General features: G+C 42.1%; 1 protein-coding gene across 11 annotated transcripts in view, besides 3 other annotated features; it reads right to left on the bottom strand.

The window, feature by feature from the left end:
• Positions 1-15,027, bottom strand: part of UHRF2 (ubiquitin like with PHD and ring finger domains 2) — a 93,856-nt gene extending 78,829 nt beyond the window's left edge. For 9 of the 11 annotated variants that reach the window (NR_046386.2, XR_428418.5, XR_007061241.1 and 6 more), the window contains exons 1-2: positions 14,583-15,027; positions 7,084-7,314 (exon numbers count right to left, since the gene is read on the bottom strand). Coding sequence is in view for 3 of the 11 variants with exons in the window: in NM_152896.3 (NP_690856.1) it covers positions 7,084-7,314; positions 14,583-14,735 (384 nt within the window). In the remaining 8 variants the exon portion in view is untranslated. Of the gene's footprint in view, positions 1-7,083; positions 7,315-14,314; positions 14,438-14,582 lie in introns of those variants that run through there. The other 2 variants (XM_011517704.3, XM_011517705.3) reach the window with 2 other exon arrangements.
• Positions 14,210-14,639: a silencer, noted in NCBI's record as "silent region_19766". NCBI's record gives its function as "represses an Ori minimal core promoter by ATAC-STARR-seq in GM12878 lymphoblastoid cells {active_cell/tissue: GM12878}" and the evidence as "EXISTENCE:reporter gene assay evidence [ECO:0000049][PMID:35858748]".
• Positions 14,710-14,889: a silencer, noted in NCBI's record as "silent region_19765". NCBI's record gives its function as "represses an Ori minimal core promoter by ATAC-STARR-seq in GM12878 lymphoblastoid cells {active_cell/tissue: GM12878}" and the evidence as "EXISTENCE:reporter gene assay evidence [ECO:0000049][PMID:35858748]".
• Positions 15,170-15,309: a silencer, noted in NCBI's record as "silent region_19764". NCBI's record gives its function as "represses an Ori minimal core promoter by ATAC-STARR-seq in GM12878 lymphoblastoid cells {active_cell/tissue: GM12878}" and the evidence as "EXISTENCE:reporter gene assay evidence [ECO:0000049][PMID:35858748]".

Below are 20,742 nucleotides of genomic sequence, written 5' to 3'. Positions count from 1 at the left end.
AAAGGTTAAACATCAAGAACTGTACTGTGGACAAAAGAAATAAGAAGTTATCAATGATAATTCTCCTCTTTCCAGTACTTTCTATTATACAATGAGCATAAGAAAACATGTAAGAAGTTTAACAGTGCCACATGCTCAGCTAAACTGTAAAGGCTTACCATCATCATTCTAAACAGTCATTATTTAGTCCAGGATGACAGCCACTTGAAAGTACGATCTTTCTGGCATCATAAAAAGCTTCCATACACAAAAACCAAAATTAAAACGAACTTAGGTTCGAATGTCCATCTTGCTTCAGAAAATTAGTTCCCAATCTAGACCCAGTGTGATTCAATTTATGTTAAATGCACATATAATGTGAATGGATGGACCCAGCCTCTGTACAATCTTTCATAGGCTCTCCATATGTAGTAGTGGTATCTAGTTTCTTGCAATAACATATGAAAATATCTGAAACTGGTTAAATATTGCTCAGTTATCAAACAGAGCAAAATAATGATATTGAGCAATAAATAACTTCAGATTAAAATTTCTTTTTTTTGAGATGGGGTCTTGCTCTGTCACCCAGGCAGGAGTGCAGTGGCGCGGTCTAAGCTCACTGAAACCTCCACCTCCTGGGTTCAAGTGATTCTCCCGTCTCAGCCTCCCAAGTAGCTGGGATTAGTCGTACGCCACCACAGCCAGCTAATTTTTTTATTTTCAGTAGAGACGGAGTTTCACCATGTTGGCCAGGATGGTTGCAAAAGCCTGACCTCAGGTGCTCTGCCTGCCTCGACCTCCCAAAGTGCTGGGATTACAGGTGTGAGCCACTGTGCCTGGCCTAAAATTTCATCTTAACATACTGTTTAAATGTTTACCTATGCCAGTTTTGAATAAAGTTAATTTGAAAATTCATCTTTTGTACCTGCTTATCATGATGTTCAAAGAATATTTCAGTCAGAAGGAAAAGTCCAAAAATGTTTGCTCATCCATAAAGCAATTTCAACTATAGAAAGCTCTACATGTATAAAAAAAAATATTTACCAAGTGGCATAACCAAGAATTCAAGACAAAAGCAATACAACGCCCAATTTTTAAGTGACTTATAATCAACTTAAAAGTTTTTATATATTAACTACTCAGACTTGCACTATGGGAAATACAAAAAACCCAATGCAAATATAAAACAAACTAATTCAAGCCAGGCACAGTGGCTCATGCCTATAATCCCAGCACTTTGGGAGGCCGAGGCAGGTGATCACCTGAGGTCAGGAGTTCAAGACCAGCCTAGCCAACATGGTGAAATCTTGTCTCTACTGAAAGTACAAAAATTAGCTGGGCATGGTGGCGGGTGCCTGTAATCCCAACTACTCAAGAGACTGAAGCAGTAGAATCGCTTGAACCCAGGAGGCAGAGGTTGCAGTGAGCTGAGATGGCTCACTGCACTCCAGCCTGGGCAACAAAGAGAGATTCCATCTCAAAAATAAAATAAAATAAAAATAAAGCAAATCATTTCAAAAGTAGCAGCTTCTAAATGGTTTTCAGTTTAGTCAACAAGTCAGTATGTGATAAAAATTCTGTGAAGGCAGAATACCGATTACAAACATATGCTAGATATCCACCTATTTATGGAATGAGCTATCCAGAAATATGTACTTCTATCTGAAAAATATAAAGGCACCAGTCAAAATTTCAAATACCTATGACAATTACTAAGGTTCATCCCCCAAAAAGTAAATAAATCTACAGTAGCTTCAACTAAGATTAAACAGCTCTAAATTTATTATTGTATGAACAGCAACCTTCTGAGAATTTTATTACTAGATTCCAATGTGCTCCTAAATGGGGAAAGGGAACCTTAATGTAAGATTTACTTGCCAATTTGTATAACCAAGCAGCAGCTGAACTGAAATTTGAAACCAGGTCTCCTGGCAAAGCTCAAGTCTTTAACATCTATACCACATAGTAATAGGAAATAGAAGAGATGTCAAATAGAGTTTAAATTCTGTAGTTCACAGCCAAAGCACTAACACTGAAAATAAAAAGCAAAGACCTCCTGAGAGAAGTAATTTCTCCTGATGCTCTTCCGAATTCGATTGGGGAGGGAAGAGGAAGGAATAGTGGAGTATTGAGAAGTTTGCTAAACAGAAATTTAAGTTGACCCAAACTGCTGAACTTTGATTAATCTCAGATGTGCAGATACATAAACTGGCCCTCCTTTGAAAGCAAATCCATCCTGTCAATGCCCAAACAATCAATTCAAAAGCAGCAGCTTCTAAACTCTGGCCAAAGATGAAAAGTAATAATGTAAACTTAATATACAGATAGTTACATAAATATTCATAGATGTATATATACACAGGTTAGTACAAATATGTATTATTTCCTTGCTGTCTGTTGAAGGCTCTAAAAGCAATGACACACCAACAGTAAGAAGCATACCTAGAGCCGAGATCTTGATTTTTTTTTTTTTAATTTATTTACTTTGAGACGAAGTCTCACTCACCCAGGCTTGGAGTGCAGTGGCGCGATCTCGGCTCCCCGTAACCTCTGCTTCCTGGGTTCAAGTGATACTCCTGCCTCAGCCTCCCGAGTAGCTGGGATTACAGGCATGTGCCACAACGCCCAGCTAATTTTTTTTTTTTTTAATTTTCGGCAGAGATGGGGTTTCACCATGTTCACCAGGCTGATCTCAAACTCCTGACCTGTAGTGATCCACCCTCCTCAGCCTCCCAAAGTGCTGGGATTACAGGCATGAGCCACTGCGCCCGGCCTCTATCCTTTGACAATTAAAGGAAACAGGGAACCTTGGAGAAATGGTTGATTCTAGGACTGAAGCAGGAAATATACAAGATGTACCTGAAGCATGTTGTAGTGCCAGAAAGTAAGATAATGCTTAAGAAAAACAAAACACCCACAATAATGGGGGTATGTCAAAGGGACATAGCCATCAAATAAACGAGTTTCTAAAGGCCAAAAGTGGAACAATTTGATCATGAGTTCATACTGATGTAAATGTCTGAATAAATACACCTCCCATGTTGAGTAATTTTAAATAATTTTTTGTAGATACTCTGCCCTCAAGGCAGTGAAGTACATTAACTTCCCACTCCTTAAGTGTGGACTGTACAGTGACTTTCTCTCCAACAGTACAGTATGGAAAGACAGGAAGGAGGTGTGGGAGTAGTTTAATAGTGGAGAAACTTGACAAACACTACCCCAGCCAGATGATTAAGGTTCACATCAGTGTTAATGTTATCATTGATGTAAAACCTAAGTTATACTTAGCAAATAGAATACTGATAGTATGTGCCCTATATACGTGATGAAAATACCTCTGCGGTCTTCCTCCCCAAAACAAACCCAGACAAATAAGGAAAACAAATGAATCCTAACAGGGGGAGATTTTACAAAATACCTGACCAGAGCTCCTCAAAATGGTCACGGTAATTGAAAAAAAAAAAAAAAAATCCTGAGAAATTGTCACAGTCAATGTCAAAGGAGATTTAAAAACTACACACAGTATAGTATCCTAGTGGGATTCTGGAACAAAAAGAGGACATGAGGTAAAAGCTAAGAAAATATGGGTCATTAATTTCAACAAATACACCACACTAACTTAAGATCTTAAGAGGGAAAACTAGGTGTGGGATATATGGGAACTCTCTCTACTATCTTCAATTTTGCTACAAATCTAAAACTGTTCTAAAATAAGTTTATTTTAAAAGTAATGATGGAGGTGGTAACACAAATAAAAAAGTAATAATGTAAAAAATGTATTAAGTATTGGTATTTAAAAGGTGGATGAAATCAGAGTAATATAGAAAAAAATGGCAAGTTGGCTTTCAGTGCTAAAAATTCTCTCTTAATTGTGACCACTATATAGCACTGTTTTAATTTACATAAGTCTTAACTTATTCCCAGATTCTACCTTTTGTTATTGCAAATTTTTTTCCTGTTCTAATTCACGCATTAATTCCTTGAGCTATCAGCAGCTCAATGTTAACTTTGAAGATAGCCACTTTAGTGACTGCTCATAACTTTCTAAAACATTTTCTCAGCTCTCCCAGGTATCCATAGGCTGCAACTTTGCCTTCTCTAATATTTACACTTTATTTTGTTCTCCTGCCTAATTGCATTATCTAGTACTTCCAGAAAGATGTCAAATAAGGAAGCATGAATTGGCTTCCTTGTCTAGCTCGTCTTTAAAGGGAATACCGGTATAGAATGTGTTTAAAATATTAACCTATTCTGTCTATTCCTCTTATCAAGAGTTCCTTTATTTATTTATTTATTTTTTTTGATACTGAGTCTCACTGTGTCGCCCAGGCTGGAGTGCAGTGGCGCAATCTTGGCTCACTGCAACCTCTGCCCTCCAAGTTCAAGCAATTCTCCTGCCTCAGCCTCCGGAGTAGCTGGGATTACAGGCACCTGCCATCGCATCCAGCTAATTTTTTGTATTTTTAGTGGAGACGGGGTTTCACCATCTTGGCCAGGCTGGTCTTGAACTCCTGACCTCATGATCCACCCGCCTCGGCCTCCCAAAGTGTTGGGATTACAGGTGTGAGCCACCACGCCCGGCCGAGACTTTTCTTTAAAAAAAAAAAAAAAATCACTAATGACTCAAATTTGTATTTAAATGCAGAAAACATTTTAAATTAATATGTTTTCTTTGGCTTATTAGTACAATGAATTATATTGAAACATTTTATAATAATGAACTGTCCCCACATCCTGACAAACCATATTTGCTTAAAGTAATATATTTTTAATAAGCAGCCATAATTTTTTAAAAGCAAGTTAAATCAGCAAATACAGCCATAATTCTATTTGCTGACTAGAACTTAGGTTTTATGTCAATGTTAGTGAAGCTGATGTGCTTTTTGTCATGTTTTAGTATCAGTATTAAACTCAATTTATAAAGCAATAGGAAGCTTTCCTTCTTTATGTTGTAGGTCAACTTAGGTAACATTATAATGATCTACTCCTCATAGGTTTAAAACAATTCAGCCATCCAAGCCTGGTACTTTCTTTGGAAACATGGTTCTAATCTCTTCTTAATCTTTCTATATACATATGTAGATCTGTTGGCATTTTTCCATATATCTAAAATTATCTCCATTTGAATAATCTTGAGTAATTTACTTCATCTACCAATTTTTTGGTCTTAAATGCTTTGAAAAACAGTATAGGTGCCCATTTATCGCAACTGATAAGAATTAGGAAGTTACAAAGATAGGAAAGGATAAAGCAAAACTGCCATTCGATTATTTCTACACAATTTATTAGATTTGAAAAGGTTGCTGGTTACAAAAGCCAAATAAATCAATTTCATTTCTCTATATCAGCAAACAGATTACTATTTTAGAAGATAACCATATATAATAATTGCATCAAAAACAAAGCTACCAGAAATAAAGCAAAATATTAAATATGTAAAGAAAGAACTAATCAAGATATCAAAGATCTAAGTTAGCCGGGCATGGTGGCTCACGCCTGTATCCCAGCACTTTGGGAGGCCGAGCAGGAAGATCACTTGACCCCAGCAGGTCAAGGCTACAGCGAGCCGTGTTCACGTCACTGCACTACAGCCTGGGTGACAGAGCCAGACCCTGTCTCAAAAAAAGAAAAGATCTAAGTTAATGGAGAAGTCAAGTCTTTTAATGTTCATGAATTAAAAGACTCAACATTGTAAAGATGTCGATTCTCCAAGCTGATCTATAGATGCAATCTCCATAGAATCCCATCAGATTTGTAGAGCTTTATATGCTATTTCTACAGTTTTTTGTATGCAAATATTAAAAGCCAAGAGACCCTGAAAGAGGAAAGAAATTGGGGAGATAGGAGAAAGGGAGATCAAAACAGTCTATAAGGCTACAGTACTCAGAACTGTAATCCCAGCACTTTGGGAGACCGAGGAGGGCAGATGAGGAGGTCAGGAGTTCGAGACCAGCCTGACCAAAATGGTAAAATCCCGTCTCTACTGGAAATATAAAAATTAGCCAGGCATGGTGGTACGCGCCTGTAATCCCACTACTTAGGAGGCAGAGGCAAGAGAATAGGAACACAGATAGACAAACAGACCAATGGAACCAAGTATAGTAGTTTGGCAGTACCCTGTGGGTGAACAACTAGCACTTCTATTCCTAGGTAGAAATTCTTGAACATATGCACCAGGTTAACAGAAGGTTCAAAACAGCACTGTTTAAAACAGATGAAACTGGAAACAGCCCAGATATCTATGAATTATGGATTAAATATACCGCGGTATGTTAATAAAATGGAATGACATAATAGTGAAAAGGAATAAAACACAGCTATATGCAGAGAATCTTTCAATGCTGAGAAAAAGTAGAATTCCATTATATAAAATTCAAATACAGACAAAACATACTGCCTAGAGAAATATACGTAAGTAGCAAAAATAAAAAACAAAAAGAGTATAAAAGAATAAGCAGTTTACCTCTTAGGGAGACACAGAGAGAAGTGTTCTGATAGGGACACACACGAGGCTTTAAACAGGTATTTAAGGCTGGGCGAGGTGGCTCACCCCGGTAATTCCAGCACTTTGGGAGGCTGAGGTGGGCGGACCACCTGAGGTCAGGAGTTCGAGACTAGCCTGGCCTACATGGTGAAACCCTGTTTCTACTAAAAATACAAAAATTAGCCGGGCGTGGTGGTGCACGTCTGTAATCCCAGCTAATCAGGAGACTAAGGCAGGAGATTTGCTTGAACCTGGGAGGCAGAGGTCATAGCGAGCCAAGATTGCGTGCGCCACTGCACTCCAGCCTGGGTGACAGAGCAAGCCTCCGTTATCAAAAACAAACAAACAAACAAAAAGTATTTTAAATCAATCTACTTCTTAACCTTGGTGCAATTACACAAGTATTTCCTTTATTGCTCTTTAAACTGTACATATACATCTTGTACATTTGTCTACGTATTTCATATCAATTTTTAAAAGACTACTTTTAAAAGTTATGATATTAACATCCCAATCTTTACTTTCAAATGGCAATCAATGTTTACTTATTCAAAACATCCTGAACAGAAAATAAATTTATTTGTATTCTCACAACAGTAAGTCTGAAGAAAACAACATACCTTATATATTCCAAAGCCAGGATCAATAAGACGGGCACGAGCTGATGTAGATGGCTGATTGGAAGGTCCTACCCTCGGAGCTTTCTTTACTTTAGGTGGACTATTAGAACAGGGTTTAGCCTCAATCTGTGTAGATGTGCCAGGAAGATGATCAGGGTCTGGGCGAACTAGCAGCTGAATTATATCATTCAGTCCAACATCATAATCAAATAAGGTATATCCATTTTCCAACTAGAAAATAAAGAAAGAATAGTGAAATGCTTCTCTAAAATGTATCTTACTACATTTTTAGTTGCTCAAATGTCCTAGCCAAACTTAAAATCCATAGCACTACAGTTTAGAGATTTTAAAACCATTCTTAATACTTAATGGCCTCTGATGTCAGTGTCTTCTCTGGACCCCAATACATTCTCTCTCTCTCTTTTTTTTTTTTTTTGAGACGGTGTCTCACTCTGTCGCCCAGGCTGGAGGGCAGTGGCACGATCTTGGCTCACTGCAAGCGCCTCCTCCCGGGTTCACACCATTCTCCTGCCTCAGCCTCCCTGAAGTAGCTGGGACTACAGGTGCCCGTCATCATGCCCGGCTAATTTTTTTTTGTATTTTTAGTAGAGACGGGGTTTCACCGTGTTTGCCAGGATGGTCTTGATCTCCTGACCTCGTGATCCACCCACCTCGACCTCCCAAAGTGCTGGGATTACAGCGTGAGCACCGCACCCGGCCATAAATTCTTAATAATTACTCCATATTCACTACAGAGAACACTGCTAGCCATTAAAACAAAAAAAATGGGCCGGGCGCGGTGGCTCACGCCTGTAATCTCAGTACTTTGGGAGGCCGAAAAGAGCAGATGACGAGGTCAGGAGTTTGAGACCAGGCTGACCAACATGGTGAAACCCCGTCTCTACTAGAAATACAAAGTATTAGCTGGGCGTGGTGGTACGCACCTGTAATCCCACTACTCAGGAGGCAGAGGCAAGAGAATCTCTTGAACTCCAGAGGTGGAGGTTGCAGTGAGCTGAAATTGCGCCACTGCACTCCAACCTGGGCAACAGAGGGAGACTGTCAAAAAAGAAAAAAAAAAAGGTGGCGGGGGAGGCTGGGCTCCGGGCCTCACATCTGTAATCCCAACATTTTGGGAAGTCAAGGTGGGAGGATCACTTGAGCCCAGGAGCTCCAGACCAGTATGGGTAACCCCATCTCTACAAAAAATAAAAATAAATAAATAAATAAAAAAACGTAGCCGGGTGTGATTGTACATGCCTGTGGTCCCAGCTACTCAGGAGGCTGAGGTGGGAGATCACTTTAGCCCAGGAGGTCATGGCTACAGTAAGCCATGATCATGCTATTGCACTCAAGTCTGGGCAACAGAGTGAGACCCTGTCTCAAAATAAACAAATAAATAAATAAATCCCAAAATGTTTCATTGTGGCTGTGACCTTATGACCTACACAGAAAAACTCTAAACTAGATTTAATTTCTCAAGTTTTATGTTTAATCAGTGCTTGAATCAACTTCAAGAAATGTGAATTTTCAAAGTTGTTTTATGACCTTATTTTTCATAAAGACATTAAGTCATCAGCTCAGTGTTTCACTTTTTTAAAAAACACATTAAGTCAAATATGTTATCTTTCTAAAGCATTATCAGTAGGTTTTTATTTTTTAAGTCAAGCAGAAAAAAAAACAAGAAGGGATAATTCTAATTCTTGCTCATGTTACTCCACTTGCCTGAAGTTCTCTAATTCTATCGATCTGCAATTATCAAGTTTTATCAAGAAGTCTTCCAGGAAGAATAGTGAATAAATTATTTGCAACCCACCCATATTTTGGTAAGGGTTATGGGTTGAAATCCTAATCCATGGTACTTGAGAATGTGACCTTATTTGGAAACAGTCTTTTAAAGAGGTAATCAGAAAATAAATTTAACAAAAGAAATGTAAAACCTACTGTTACGAGCTAAGTTGCGTCCCTGCCAAAATTTTTTTGTTAAAGTCCTAACCCCCAGTACCTCAGAATGTGACTTCATTTTGAGATAGGGTCTTTAGAGAGGTAATTAAGTTAAAACAAAGTCATTAGGGCCCTAATCCAATATGGCTAGTGTCCTCATAATAAGGGGACATTTGGAAAGATGCAGCCGGAAGACAATGTGAAGACACAGGAAAAAGGCAGCCATGTGACTGGAGTGATGTACCTAATATAAGCCAAGAAAGAAAATTTCCGGCAAAGTGTAAAGGGTTCTCCCCCTAGAGCTATCAGAGGACGGCCCTGCTGACACCTTGCTAGACCTCTAGAACTGTGAGACAGTAAATTTCTATTGTTTTAAGCCACCCAGGTTTTGGTACATTAGTACAACAGCCCTAGGAAATTAAGTCTCCATTTTGTTTCTTTATAAAGTTCAGTTGGCAATTTCACTATGATACAGTGAAACAAGAAAACTAAACTCCTTTCAGGCCACAACTATCACTTTCCCAGAAACATAATCAATTTTTAAATTGCTCATTTTCTACTCTTCATATGTATTACTTTTCAACATTCACAACTCTAACACAGTAACATCATATTTGAGAAGTCAACCAAATGGAAATAAAAGTATGTCCTGAATTTAAAACTTTTAATCTACTAGATCAGTAATTTGAACTCAGGTGGTCCAAGAACCCAACAAGCACAATCTCAAACACTACAGGTATTCACATTTGTCAAGTAGAACAAGGGATCAAGAATTTCACAAGTTTCCCAGTCAGGGAATTAAATTATGTACTACCTCACAAGTTACCATGCTTACTCTAAATAAGCCAAAGTAGTATTCCAAGTCAGTAAGCAAGTAAGCCCTGATAAGGATAGGGATGGGAATATTGCTTCCTTGATTTAAAAAAAAAAAAAAAAAAAGGAACATCCTCTAGTCTTGAACTCCCGTGGAGGGAAAAAAACCCCAAAAAACTCAAGGAGCAAACACTGCATTCACACCATCATTTTGACATTCTCCAACACCCCCACAAAAAAACCCAAAACAAAATACCTTACTAATTCTGGAGGAGCTGAAAAAGCGTAACATACAACTGACAAACATTATGACTATTTTTAAATGAAAGTGCTTAAAGATAATTAAAAAAAACTAACAGTATAAAACATGCAAATTAACTAGTAGCATATTTCCAAAAATGAAGATAGCAGTTAAAGTGATAAAACTGCTGGAAATTGAAAGAACATTTTTCCACTTAGGTTTGAGGGACCAGAGTCAGAGTGACGTTGAGGGTATTTCTACAGTCAGCTCCTGGTTAGTTTCTACTAAATGACGGTCAGGAGTAAATACAAACTGTTTCAACTGGTGCTTTTTAAAATTTGATTTGACAGGAAAAAATGTCGTAAGAGCACCATGTCTAAGCATATCACGGCATGAGACCCTATAAGTTACATCCACAGTAACATATAACCACCTTTCCTCATGCTTGCTATGACAGGCTTTTTAAACCCAGATTATCCACTCCTTCGCTAATTCATAGGTACTCCTCCAGTCTTCCTACAATAGTGACCATTTATCTACCGCAATAACAAGTTCCACACAACTTTATTCCACAAAGCTTCACATATTATGAAGAGCTGTGAAGTGTTGAGATGATTTACTTGAAAAGTACCGAAGTTCTTCCACATTTAATGAAAGTGAAGATTGAAAGTTATCTCTGACACTCAAATTAAGCTCTAAGTAGGGAAAAAAGGAAGCGGTCATTTAGAAATCACAAACATCTGTGAGTCAGAAGCATGTAACTTAGGTCCATCAATGTCTCAAAAGCAAATGTTTGAGAACTGCCATACTCGAAGATGGAGATGCAGTATTTACAATACTTAAGAAGCAAAAATGGTTAGGATTTTTTGTCAGACCACTCTTGAAATTTTACTGAGTTGAAAGAAGAAACTCCAGGTAACAAGAGGAACTGCAACAATGATGCAAGGGAATACTAGAAAGCAAATGCCAAGTGGAAGTGGCTGAGAGGGCAGTGGGAAGTCATTCCCAAGCAACTACTGACTAGGGATGCCAGTGAAGGGCAAAACAACTTTCACGTATCCATCACATATTATATATGTGTGTATTATATATGTTATATACATCATATATAATATATACATAGATATTCCTTTAAATAGGCAAGTACTTTTATATTCTGTGTGAAAACCAAGTGGGAGAGGCAACTTTTTTCTTCAACTATAGTTCATGCCCCACATTGTTATCTATTTTAAGACCACCTCTATAGTGGTAAGGAGTGAAAGAATGACGAGAGAGAATCCTTTAAAATAGGAAAAGCTCTGGATTCTCAAAAGATTTAGGCCGGGCGCGGTGGCTCACGCCTGTAATCCCAGCACTTTGGGAGGCCGAGGCGGGCGGATCACGAGGTCAGGAGATCGAGACCACGGTGAAACCCCGTCTCTACTAAAAATACAAAAAATCAGCCGGGCGCAGTGGCGGGCGCCTGTAGTCCCAGCTACTCGGGAGGCTGAGGCAGAATGGCGTGAACCCGGAAGGCGGAGCTTGCAGTGAGCGGAGATCGCGCCACAGCACTCCCGCCTGGGCGACAGAACGAGACTCCGTCTCAAAAAAAAAAAAAAAAAAAAAAAAAGATTTAGAGATCCACCAACATAATCTCTTCCTTAAAAAGACCCAATCCCCCGCGTGCCTCAAACTCAACTTCCCAGATAAGAATGTTCACAGCATGTTATCCTACTCTAACCAAAACTTATAGCCCTGAATTGCAGGTCTCCATTTTGACCCTCAAATGTGGAGTCAAGGCTGGGCACGGTAGCTTACGCCTGTAATCCCAGCACTTTGGGAAGCCGAGGTGGGCGCATCACCTGAGGTCCTGTCCTAGATAGAGACCATCGTGTCCAAAATGGTGAAACCTCGTCTCTACTAAAATACAAAAAATTTGCCGGGAGTGGTGGCGCACGCCTGTAGTCCCAGCTACTTGGGAGACTGCGGCAGGGGAATCGCTTGAACCCGGGAGGCAGAGGTTGTAGTAAGCCGAGATCGCGCCACTCCAGCCTGGCGACAGGGCAAGACTCCGGCTTAAAAAAAAAACAAAAACAACAACAAAAAAAGTGGAGTCAATTAACACTGCCTTCTCCAACTTCACCTACATACAGATCACCTGGAGATCTTGTTAAAATACAGATTCTGCTTCAGTAGGTCAGCTTCAGTAGGTCTGGCGTGAGGATTTCAGGTAAAGCTAATGCTGCTGGTCCTGAGAATCCAGGGACCATACTTTGAATAGTAAGAGACTAGTGGGAGACTATCTATCAACATTCATTTTCTAAACTCTGGTGTTATCAGAATCTCCCGTGGGGTCTTGTTAAATTCAACTACTTGCAGTTCTGGGGTGAGCTGAACATCTATAATAAATATCCACAAGCGATTCTGATACATACCAAAGATTAAAAGCTGGAGCCTAACATACGAATGGAGTATGGGGGGCGGGTACCACTTAAATAAAAATAAATGTATTGTCTACAATTTATGACATTTTTCACTACGTGGCAGTAAAGTATTTTGAAGTAGGGGTACCTTTTTCCAATGAGGACATGGTATTTTACAGGACGGGGACTCTCTGTGATGCCATTCCAGTAGTTACCTGCTACAGGCTGGCTACCTCATCTGTGGAGCTCCAGAGACCACGAAAGATAACACTCATTGCCATAGCTACTTGTCAGCGCATAAGAAAGTGAACACACAGCTGGTACCAATGACCTTCCTTTTCTGTTTCCAAGTTAATGGCTGGCACCAAAGGTCTATTCCTCTACCCTACTGGTTTATCACTGGGCTGAAGAAACCCAAGTAGTGAATTACCCACTAGGACCCTGGAAGAGGAAGTACAACGGTTATCCTCAGTTTTCCCTGGAATCTGGAATGAGCTTCCTAGTTTACTGAAAGTCTACTTTGTTGCCTTGAATTTAACCCAATCCCATATGTGATAATTATTTTAGCATATTTGATAATAAAGATTTTAGGAGTGTTGCCCAAGAACATCCTTCATTTCTATCTCTGGTGCTGAAATCACCAGTGTCCTAGGAATTCATGTACTATTTGTCCCCAGCTAGAAAATAAAATGCATCAAACGATTACATGCTTTTTCACTTGTGATCAAAAGGAAACGGTATCAGCCACTTGAGGCACAGCAAAGCAAATCTATGTAGTATTTAACAAGTGTACAATTATTTCAAAAGCAAAGCTTACAACTAAATACCTGTTTTTACAAGTCAAACACTAAGAAGTCAGTACAAAACTGGCTGCAAACACAAATCAAAGGTGCTATAACATTATTTTAAAGAGAGAAGGAAAGGGGAAAAAAAAGCTCTCTCCTTCCCAAAGTGTAATTTGTTACTATGAAATTTCTGGACAGTCTTCGAAGACTAAGCCTGTGAAGGGGAGGAAAATATTCCTTTTAAGTAGTTTGCAACTGTAGGCTACTTCTACCAAATCAAAGAGCTACACTTATTTAAAACCACAGGATTGGAGCCAAACTGTGGTCTATCAACTCAGGATGCCAACTTTTTAGTGTATTAACAACAACATGAAGACAAAGAAAAATACGATGGGTCTGAGTGGCTAGGGATATAGATTGTAAGAGACTTGTGGAATAGGAAAAAAACTTAGACTGGCCAGACCATAAAAATACCAGAGATGCCCACAGACAGCCTTCAAGTATGCACCGCTGGCTATGCTGCAGTGCTATGCTTAAAGCGTGAACGACATGAGTATTAGAAGGCGAGAAGTAAGAAAAGCAAACAGTCTTACACTCCTTTTCACTTCGGGAATAAAACTCTTGGCTTATATAGGGCATTCGTAAACCCGGCCCCCGGTTAAACCGACAGTTTCTTCATGCCCAGGTCTCTAACCTCCCTCGAGACATTCCAAACCTAGGAAAGGCGGCGAGGGAGAGGGACCAGAAGTTCTGGAAACCCTTCGAATCTTCAGTTTGCGCGAATCCTACCACAGTCAGGAAGCAGAGTTAGGGTTCTTATTCTTGAGAGCTCAATGCCCGAGTTTCCCCTGTTTGAGAGCCGAAGACGCGGAAGAGCCGCGGAAGCCAGGCGAACGCTCAGCCGGGTTAGCCAGCTCTCCGGGTCTCCCGCGCGGTGGCATGGCCGCCAGAGCCCTCTGCCCTCCCCGCCCTCTGGGGGCCCCAGGCCCCGCCGAGCGCGGGAAGCGAGGGACCTGGGCACCCAGTGCCTACGGCCGCTGTCCTACCAAATACAAACGGCGAGATATTTGCGCTCCGGACGCCCTCACTTCTGACCCCGCGCGGCGCACCTCCAGTTGGGGCTGGCAGGGACCCACTCCCCACCATTCGGCGGGACTGGGCCCCGCACCCCGCGCCTCGCGGGGGCTGCCCACCCGCAGCGGAGCCAGGTGAGCCCTGCGCGCGCGGCGCACAGAGCCCTCGGACCGGTGCGTCCAGAGGAGCCCAGCTGTTCCGGCCCCCAGCCTCGCTAGGGGCGCGGCGGGCGCGCCTCACCTGCTTGCCCCGGTAGAAGAGGCGCTGGCATTCGGGCCGCACGTCGAACAGCGCCCACACCCGCTCGCGCAGCTCCTCAATCGTGGCTTTGCGAGACACGTCCTCAATGGTGCACGTCTTGGAGCCATCAATGGTGCGAACCTGTATCCACATCTTGGCGCCTAGAGAGGAACCGGTCCCCTTTGTCTCCCCCTGAGCTCTGGGCGCCGCGCCCCGCCCGGCCCGCGCCGCTTTCCCTGCGGCTCGGGCCCTCAGCGGCAGGCGGGCGAGCGCGCCCACCGGACCGACCGGACGCCGGGCCCGACAGGCGGCGACGACTCTCAGCGCGCGCGCCCGACTAGCCGACTTGAGGAGAGACGACCGGAACCACTCTGAGGCGCTGCCGCAGACACCGCCTCAAAGATAGGAAGAGGCCATGTCTGCGCCGCGCAGAGTGTTTACTTATAGAGCTGGAGCTCCCACATGGAGGTCACGGCGCCAAGCCGGATCTCGCGAGATCCACGCCGGGCTCCGCCTTAAAGAGGAAGCGGCCCGGGAGAGGGTTACAGACCCGAGGGAACGAAAATGGGCAGGCGCGGAGAGGGCGGGTCGGAGGGGCGGGGCTACCAAAAGCCGTTACTTGCCCCACCGCCTGCACCTGGCCACTGGGCACGCCCTCTAGCCTTTGGGTTTCGGAAGATTGCGCGGCTACCACATCGGTTGCCGTTTTGAGGCCTCGTTTCAGAGCTGAGGGGGCGGGTGCCTCCTCAGGCTTAGCGGATATGGTTCTTTGGTCTCAAAAACACACCAAAAATAAGAAACCCTGGCGTGCACTTGTATAATCCTGGAAAGGGGGCGCGGGTGGGTGCGGCCTAAACTTCCGAGAAAGAACTGAAGGAAATGTGTGCGCTCCACCGCGCTCAACAGGAAAGCTCCCGCCACGCGGCCTGGCGGGTCGGGTCGCCCGGGAAAGGCCCCGGGGGCCCTCCTGCTTCGCGAACACGTTTCCCGCCTGGCCGCAATGCTACTTTCGCGCGGAAACCCACTTCCGAGGGTTTCCCGTCGCCTGGCGGAGGCGGCAGCTCCAGGCCTATCCTCAGGCCGCGGGTCCCGCTGGGATCGCCCTCTCTGGCTTGCAGCGCTCCCAGCCGGCCCTCCGGCCTTGGAGAAGTCGGGGCAGCTGCCCGAAAGGCCGCTCTCTAACTCCGGACATTTCCGTTCGTAGACTTTCCGCGTTAGGGGTGCCTTTGGCCTAAGGGATTGCGGGTTTGCGGGAAACAGTTTTAAATAATGCAGAGCTACGCGCCTCCGAAGAAAGAACTCCAAAGACCCTACTAGGATTAAACCCTCAGAAGTGGGCCCAACGCAGCACTACCTAACAGGGCTTCCCCCACCCCCCACCCCGCCTTCTTAATCCTTCCCTGCTACAGCTGGGGAGTCGGGGTGGGGGTGAGTGGGTTTATTTTATTTTATTTATTATGTATGTATGTATGTATGTATGTATGTATTTAGAGACGGAATCTCTCTCTGTCGCCCAGGCTGGAGTGCAGTGGCGCGATCTCGGCTCACTGCAAGCTCCGCCTCCCGGGTTCACGCCATTCTCCTGCCTCAGCCTCCCTGGGGTAGCTGGGACTACAGGCGCCCGCCACCGCGCCCGGCTAATAGTCTCGATCTCCTGACCTCGTGATCCACCCGCCTCGGCCTTCCAAAGTGCTGGGATTACAGGCGTGAGCCACCGCGCCCGGCCAAGTGGGTTTATTTTAAATGAAAATATGTCTTCTCAAGAAGGGAGAGAGGATATAAACGTAAACAAAACAAGACAACTTGGACTTCACATTTGCCAAAATCGGTAACTTAAATATTCACATAGGTGCTAATTATTCCCATAAAGGTACAGTACCATTTTTTTGTAATAAACTAATAAACAGCTAAAATAATTACAAGCACAGACAAATCCAGTAGTATATCATGAAAAAGAAGAGAAAGGCCGGGCGCAGTGGCTCAGGCCTGTAATCTCAGCGCTTTGGGAGGCCGAGGTGGGCGGATCACTTGAGGTCAGGAGTTCCAGACCAGCCTGGCCAACATGGTGAAACCCCATCTCTACTAAAAATATTAAAAAACTAGCTGAGCATGGTGGCAGTTGCCTGTAGTCCCAGCTACTCGGGAGGCTGAGGCAGGAGAATTGCTTGAACCCGGGAGGCGGAGGCTGCAGTGAGCTGAGATCACGCCACTGCACTACAGCCTGGGCGATAGAGTGAGACTCCATCTCAAAAAAAAAGAGAAAAAAAAGATGGCCCAACACAGAAGAGACAGAAAAAATTAACTGCACATACATATTTTGGGTTTCTGCCCCTGTGAAAATTTCAGTCACCTAGAACCTCTAAATATAATTCACTTGTCTACCCCTATTTTAATTAAAGCAAATATTGAGTATTTATTACATATGTAAATGAGATGATATTTAGGTTGGTGCAAAAGTCATTGGGGTTTTGCCATTTCTTTCGGTGGCAAAAACCACAATTACATTTGCACCAACCAAATCTACCTAAAGCACACTTACTACCTACCTCAATAAGGCGAAACTATTTATTATAAGGTTATGCTATTTACTATTATAACGTTATACTATGGCTTTGTGGAGTTACGTTAGGATTTTTTTTTTAGTTACCTCTCACAAAACAAATTACAATCTAGTTGAGATAAGATTTAACAAAAATAAAATATTAAAGAATAACTTAGTACTAAACACTGATGTTGGCGCAAACCATGATTACAGATGAGAGGAGAACTAGAATGATTAAGAAAAGGGGAACTAGAATGATCTGGAAGCTTAAAAATAACTGTACAACTTGACACGAGTTATGTGATACATTGTAGTAGGAGGCAGCATTTAAATGTTCAGTTCATGGATTGAGATAGACCGGAATTATAATCCCAGTTTTACTGCTTGCTTAAAAATGTGATCTTGTACAAATAACATCCTCAATTTCCTCAATGTAAAATGGTGCTTGAAATAACCTAATGATTGTAAAGTGGTTTGCATACTATCCCTTAGTAGTACACAATAAATTATTTTAGTACTGCTGTTATGGAGAAGATTTAGATAAACAGAGTATGCCCAAAGAGGAAAGAGTGCTTAAACAAAGACAAAAAAGTGTGCATTTTTTACAGGTCAGAAGAGACTGCAAATCAGAGAATGGTTGACTAAATAGAAAAGGGCAGTGTGTGAAAATTAACATTCAAAGCAGATGATTTTTGTGGGCCCCAGGGAAAAACTAAGATTTTTAAGGAGTAGATGGATGTAATTAAATATGCATTTGAAATAATAGCAAAAGGAATCTGGACAGATGCCTTAGGGAAAAAGTAAGGAAGAGGGACATGAGGGGAGAACTTATTGTCAGAAAGTTTACAGAGGAGGCAATTGTGTCAGTTTTGGTGAAATTAGTGGCGGTAAGTAGGAGAGGAGAGGATGTATTCCAGAGTATTCTAGAAAATTGAGCCTATAAAACTTGTAGGATTGTGGATATAAAGGATGAGGAAAATGGAATGTTGAGAACAGTTCCCAAGTTTCTAGCTTAGGAGATTTAAATTGATGGCTCGAGCAGATGGTGATGCTCTGAACTTGTAGAGGAGGCAAGTCGGGAAAATACAATGAGTTCCAAATGAGCTGTGTTGCATTTGAAATGCATCCAAAATATAGCATCTGTCTAGCTGGAGATGTCTAACTGACCACTGGAAATAGAAGTTTGACGTATTGAAGAGAAATAGGAAAGTTCTTAAAGAGGGACTTTTTAAGACCTCCTGTACACACTCTTATGAGATTTATCTTTCTTAATGTGATGGGGCTTTAATGGAGAACTGCAGGGGTGGGGAGGGGATAAGATGACTGTCTCAAAATTAGGTATCTACTGAGACTGTATAGGATTTGTGTATAGATCCCAAACAATCTATATTGTTAAGCACAGAGTTTAGAGATGTAAGACTCAAAAATGATGTATTTGTCCTGCAGACCAAATGAATTACATCTGGAAACATAAATTTACATATGCAGTAGGCGACTTAGGGTATAAACAAATAACTGCAAGTAATGATTGTATATGTAACAAAACACACCCTTCCTGTGTTTCTCCATGTAGTACTGTGTACTGTTTTCTCTCTTTGCCTGCAATACTGTTGTTGTGTGCTTAGGCATCTGCCCAGTTGTAAAAACAAAATAGTTCTCTGACAAAAACAGCAATATTAGACAGTTGGGTTTTTTTTTGTTTGTTTGTTTGGTTTTGAGATGGAATCTCACTCTGTTGTCCAGGCTGGAGTGCAGCGGTGCAATCTCGGCTCACTGCAACCTGTGCCTCCCAGGTTCAAGCGATTCTTGTGCATCAGTATCCCACGTAGCTGGATTATAAGCATGCACCACCACGCCTGGCAAATTTTTGTATTTTTAGTAGAGACAGGGTTTCAACATGTTGGCCAGGCTGGTCTGAAACTCCTGGCCCCCAAGGATCCACTTGGTTCAGCCTCTCAAAGTGTTGGGACTACAGGAGTGAGCCACAGTGCTCAGCCAAGACAGTTTTGGCATATCATACCTTACTACCAAGTGTGTAGCTGAAACCATTTGGATATGAACAGGGAAAATAAAGAGAAATTATTTACATGGATGAAAAGCAAATACTAAAGTTTGTACCATCAGTCATGATCCAATATTTGTTCAAGTCAAGAGGCAAAACAGAAAAAGGTTGATTGTAGAACAAATTCCAGAATCTTATACTTCAGAATGTCTTGTTTCTTAACTACTGTCTCAAAGCCAGTAACTTATTTTTAAAGAATGAATTACAACCTATCCTCTGAAGCTATGATTAATACCTTTTCATCTGCCCTTTTATGTTGGATGTCTTCCTTTTTCTCCTCCAGGGCCACTCTCTACCTGTTTGCAGTCCTAGAGTCCAAGAGTAGGAAGAATATAGAGGCAGTACCCTCAAGCTTCCAACTGAGGTTGACCAACGGGGAGGGAGCACAGACAAAAACCTGCATGATACGAAGAGAATGAGATCAGGATATTCCCGTGGCTTTCTCCCTGCAAGACCAAGTCAGGCTGTCTCTTGCCTTTGCATGATGTCACTTGTCCTCTTCAGGTGACCTGCTCCACGTGACTCGCTCTTCCATGTTCTGGTAACCTATCTTTCCCTCCCCTGTTGCTTTGGGTTCAGGGGTTGTTACATATTTGCAGTCGCTAGTCCTAGATGCATGCATATTCTTTCCATTCCCTATATCGTGTTCCATACTCTTATCATTGGTCCCATGGGGCGGGGAAACCATTAAATTCTCTTAACTGGAGGATTTGGATTATAATCTCTAATGCTATTTTAGAAAGGACTACATGTTACAAGAAATGCACTAGAATTTCCATTGGCTAAAAAGCACTTAATATGGTTGCTCATTACTTAAATTAGTCATATTAAATTAGTCAAAGTGTGCTCTTTCTTTTTAATAGAATCACATATTTTTACTATGAAAATCTACTTTAGAGCTCATTCTGGTCTAACCTTCTCTTTAGCAAATGGTGAAATGATTTGCACAAGGACATGTAACCAATGAAAGAGTGTTAAAGTTTAAACCTCTGGTCTCCTTCCTCCCTGGCCAGTGTTCTTTAGCTTTCAATTGACCCTCTTGTTTCTCTGGAGGCTTCCCCTTGAACTTTGTCCAAATAACTTTGAACTTTGTCCAAAGAATAAACTTCTTTTCTGCAGTGAGTGACCCTGGTTCTTTGGACAATCCGATAGCTCAGGTAGGAGTGGGGACCTGGGATTCTCACTAAAGACTTGCAATGTATCCCCATTTTCAATCTTATGCCTTCCTCTGCCTTCTGCAATTTGTCATTCCTATTGCCGAACATTTCTGAGGGTCTTTGAATCAATTAGCTCATTTCTTATACTGATGACAGTGTTTAACAAAATTTAGGAGGGCTGGGCGCCAGTGGCTTACACCTGTAATCCTGGCACTTTGGGAGGCCAAGGTGGGAGGACCACTTGAGGTCAGGAGTTCAAGACCAGCCTGGCTAACATGGTGAAACCCTATCTCCACTAAAAATACAAAAATTAGCCAGGCATGATGGTGCTTGCCTGTAATCCCAGATACTCATGCCTGTAATCCCAGCTGAGGCAGGAGAATCACTTGAACCCAGGAG

The sequence above is a fragment of the Homo sapiens genome, chromosome 9, assembly GCF_000001405.40.
Source record: "Homo sapiens chromosome 9, GRCh38.p14 Primary Assembly".
Taxonomy (NCBI): Eukaryota; Metazoa; Chordata; class Mammalia; order Primates; family Hominidae; genus Homo; species Homo sapiens.
This window is presented reverse-complemented; position numbering and strand designations above follow the sequence as displayed.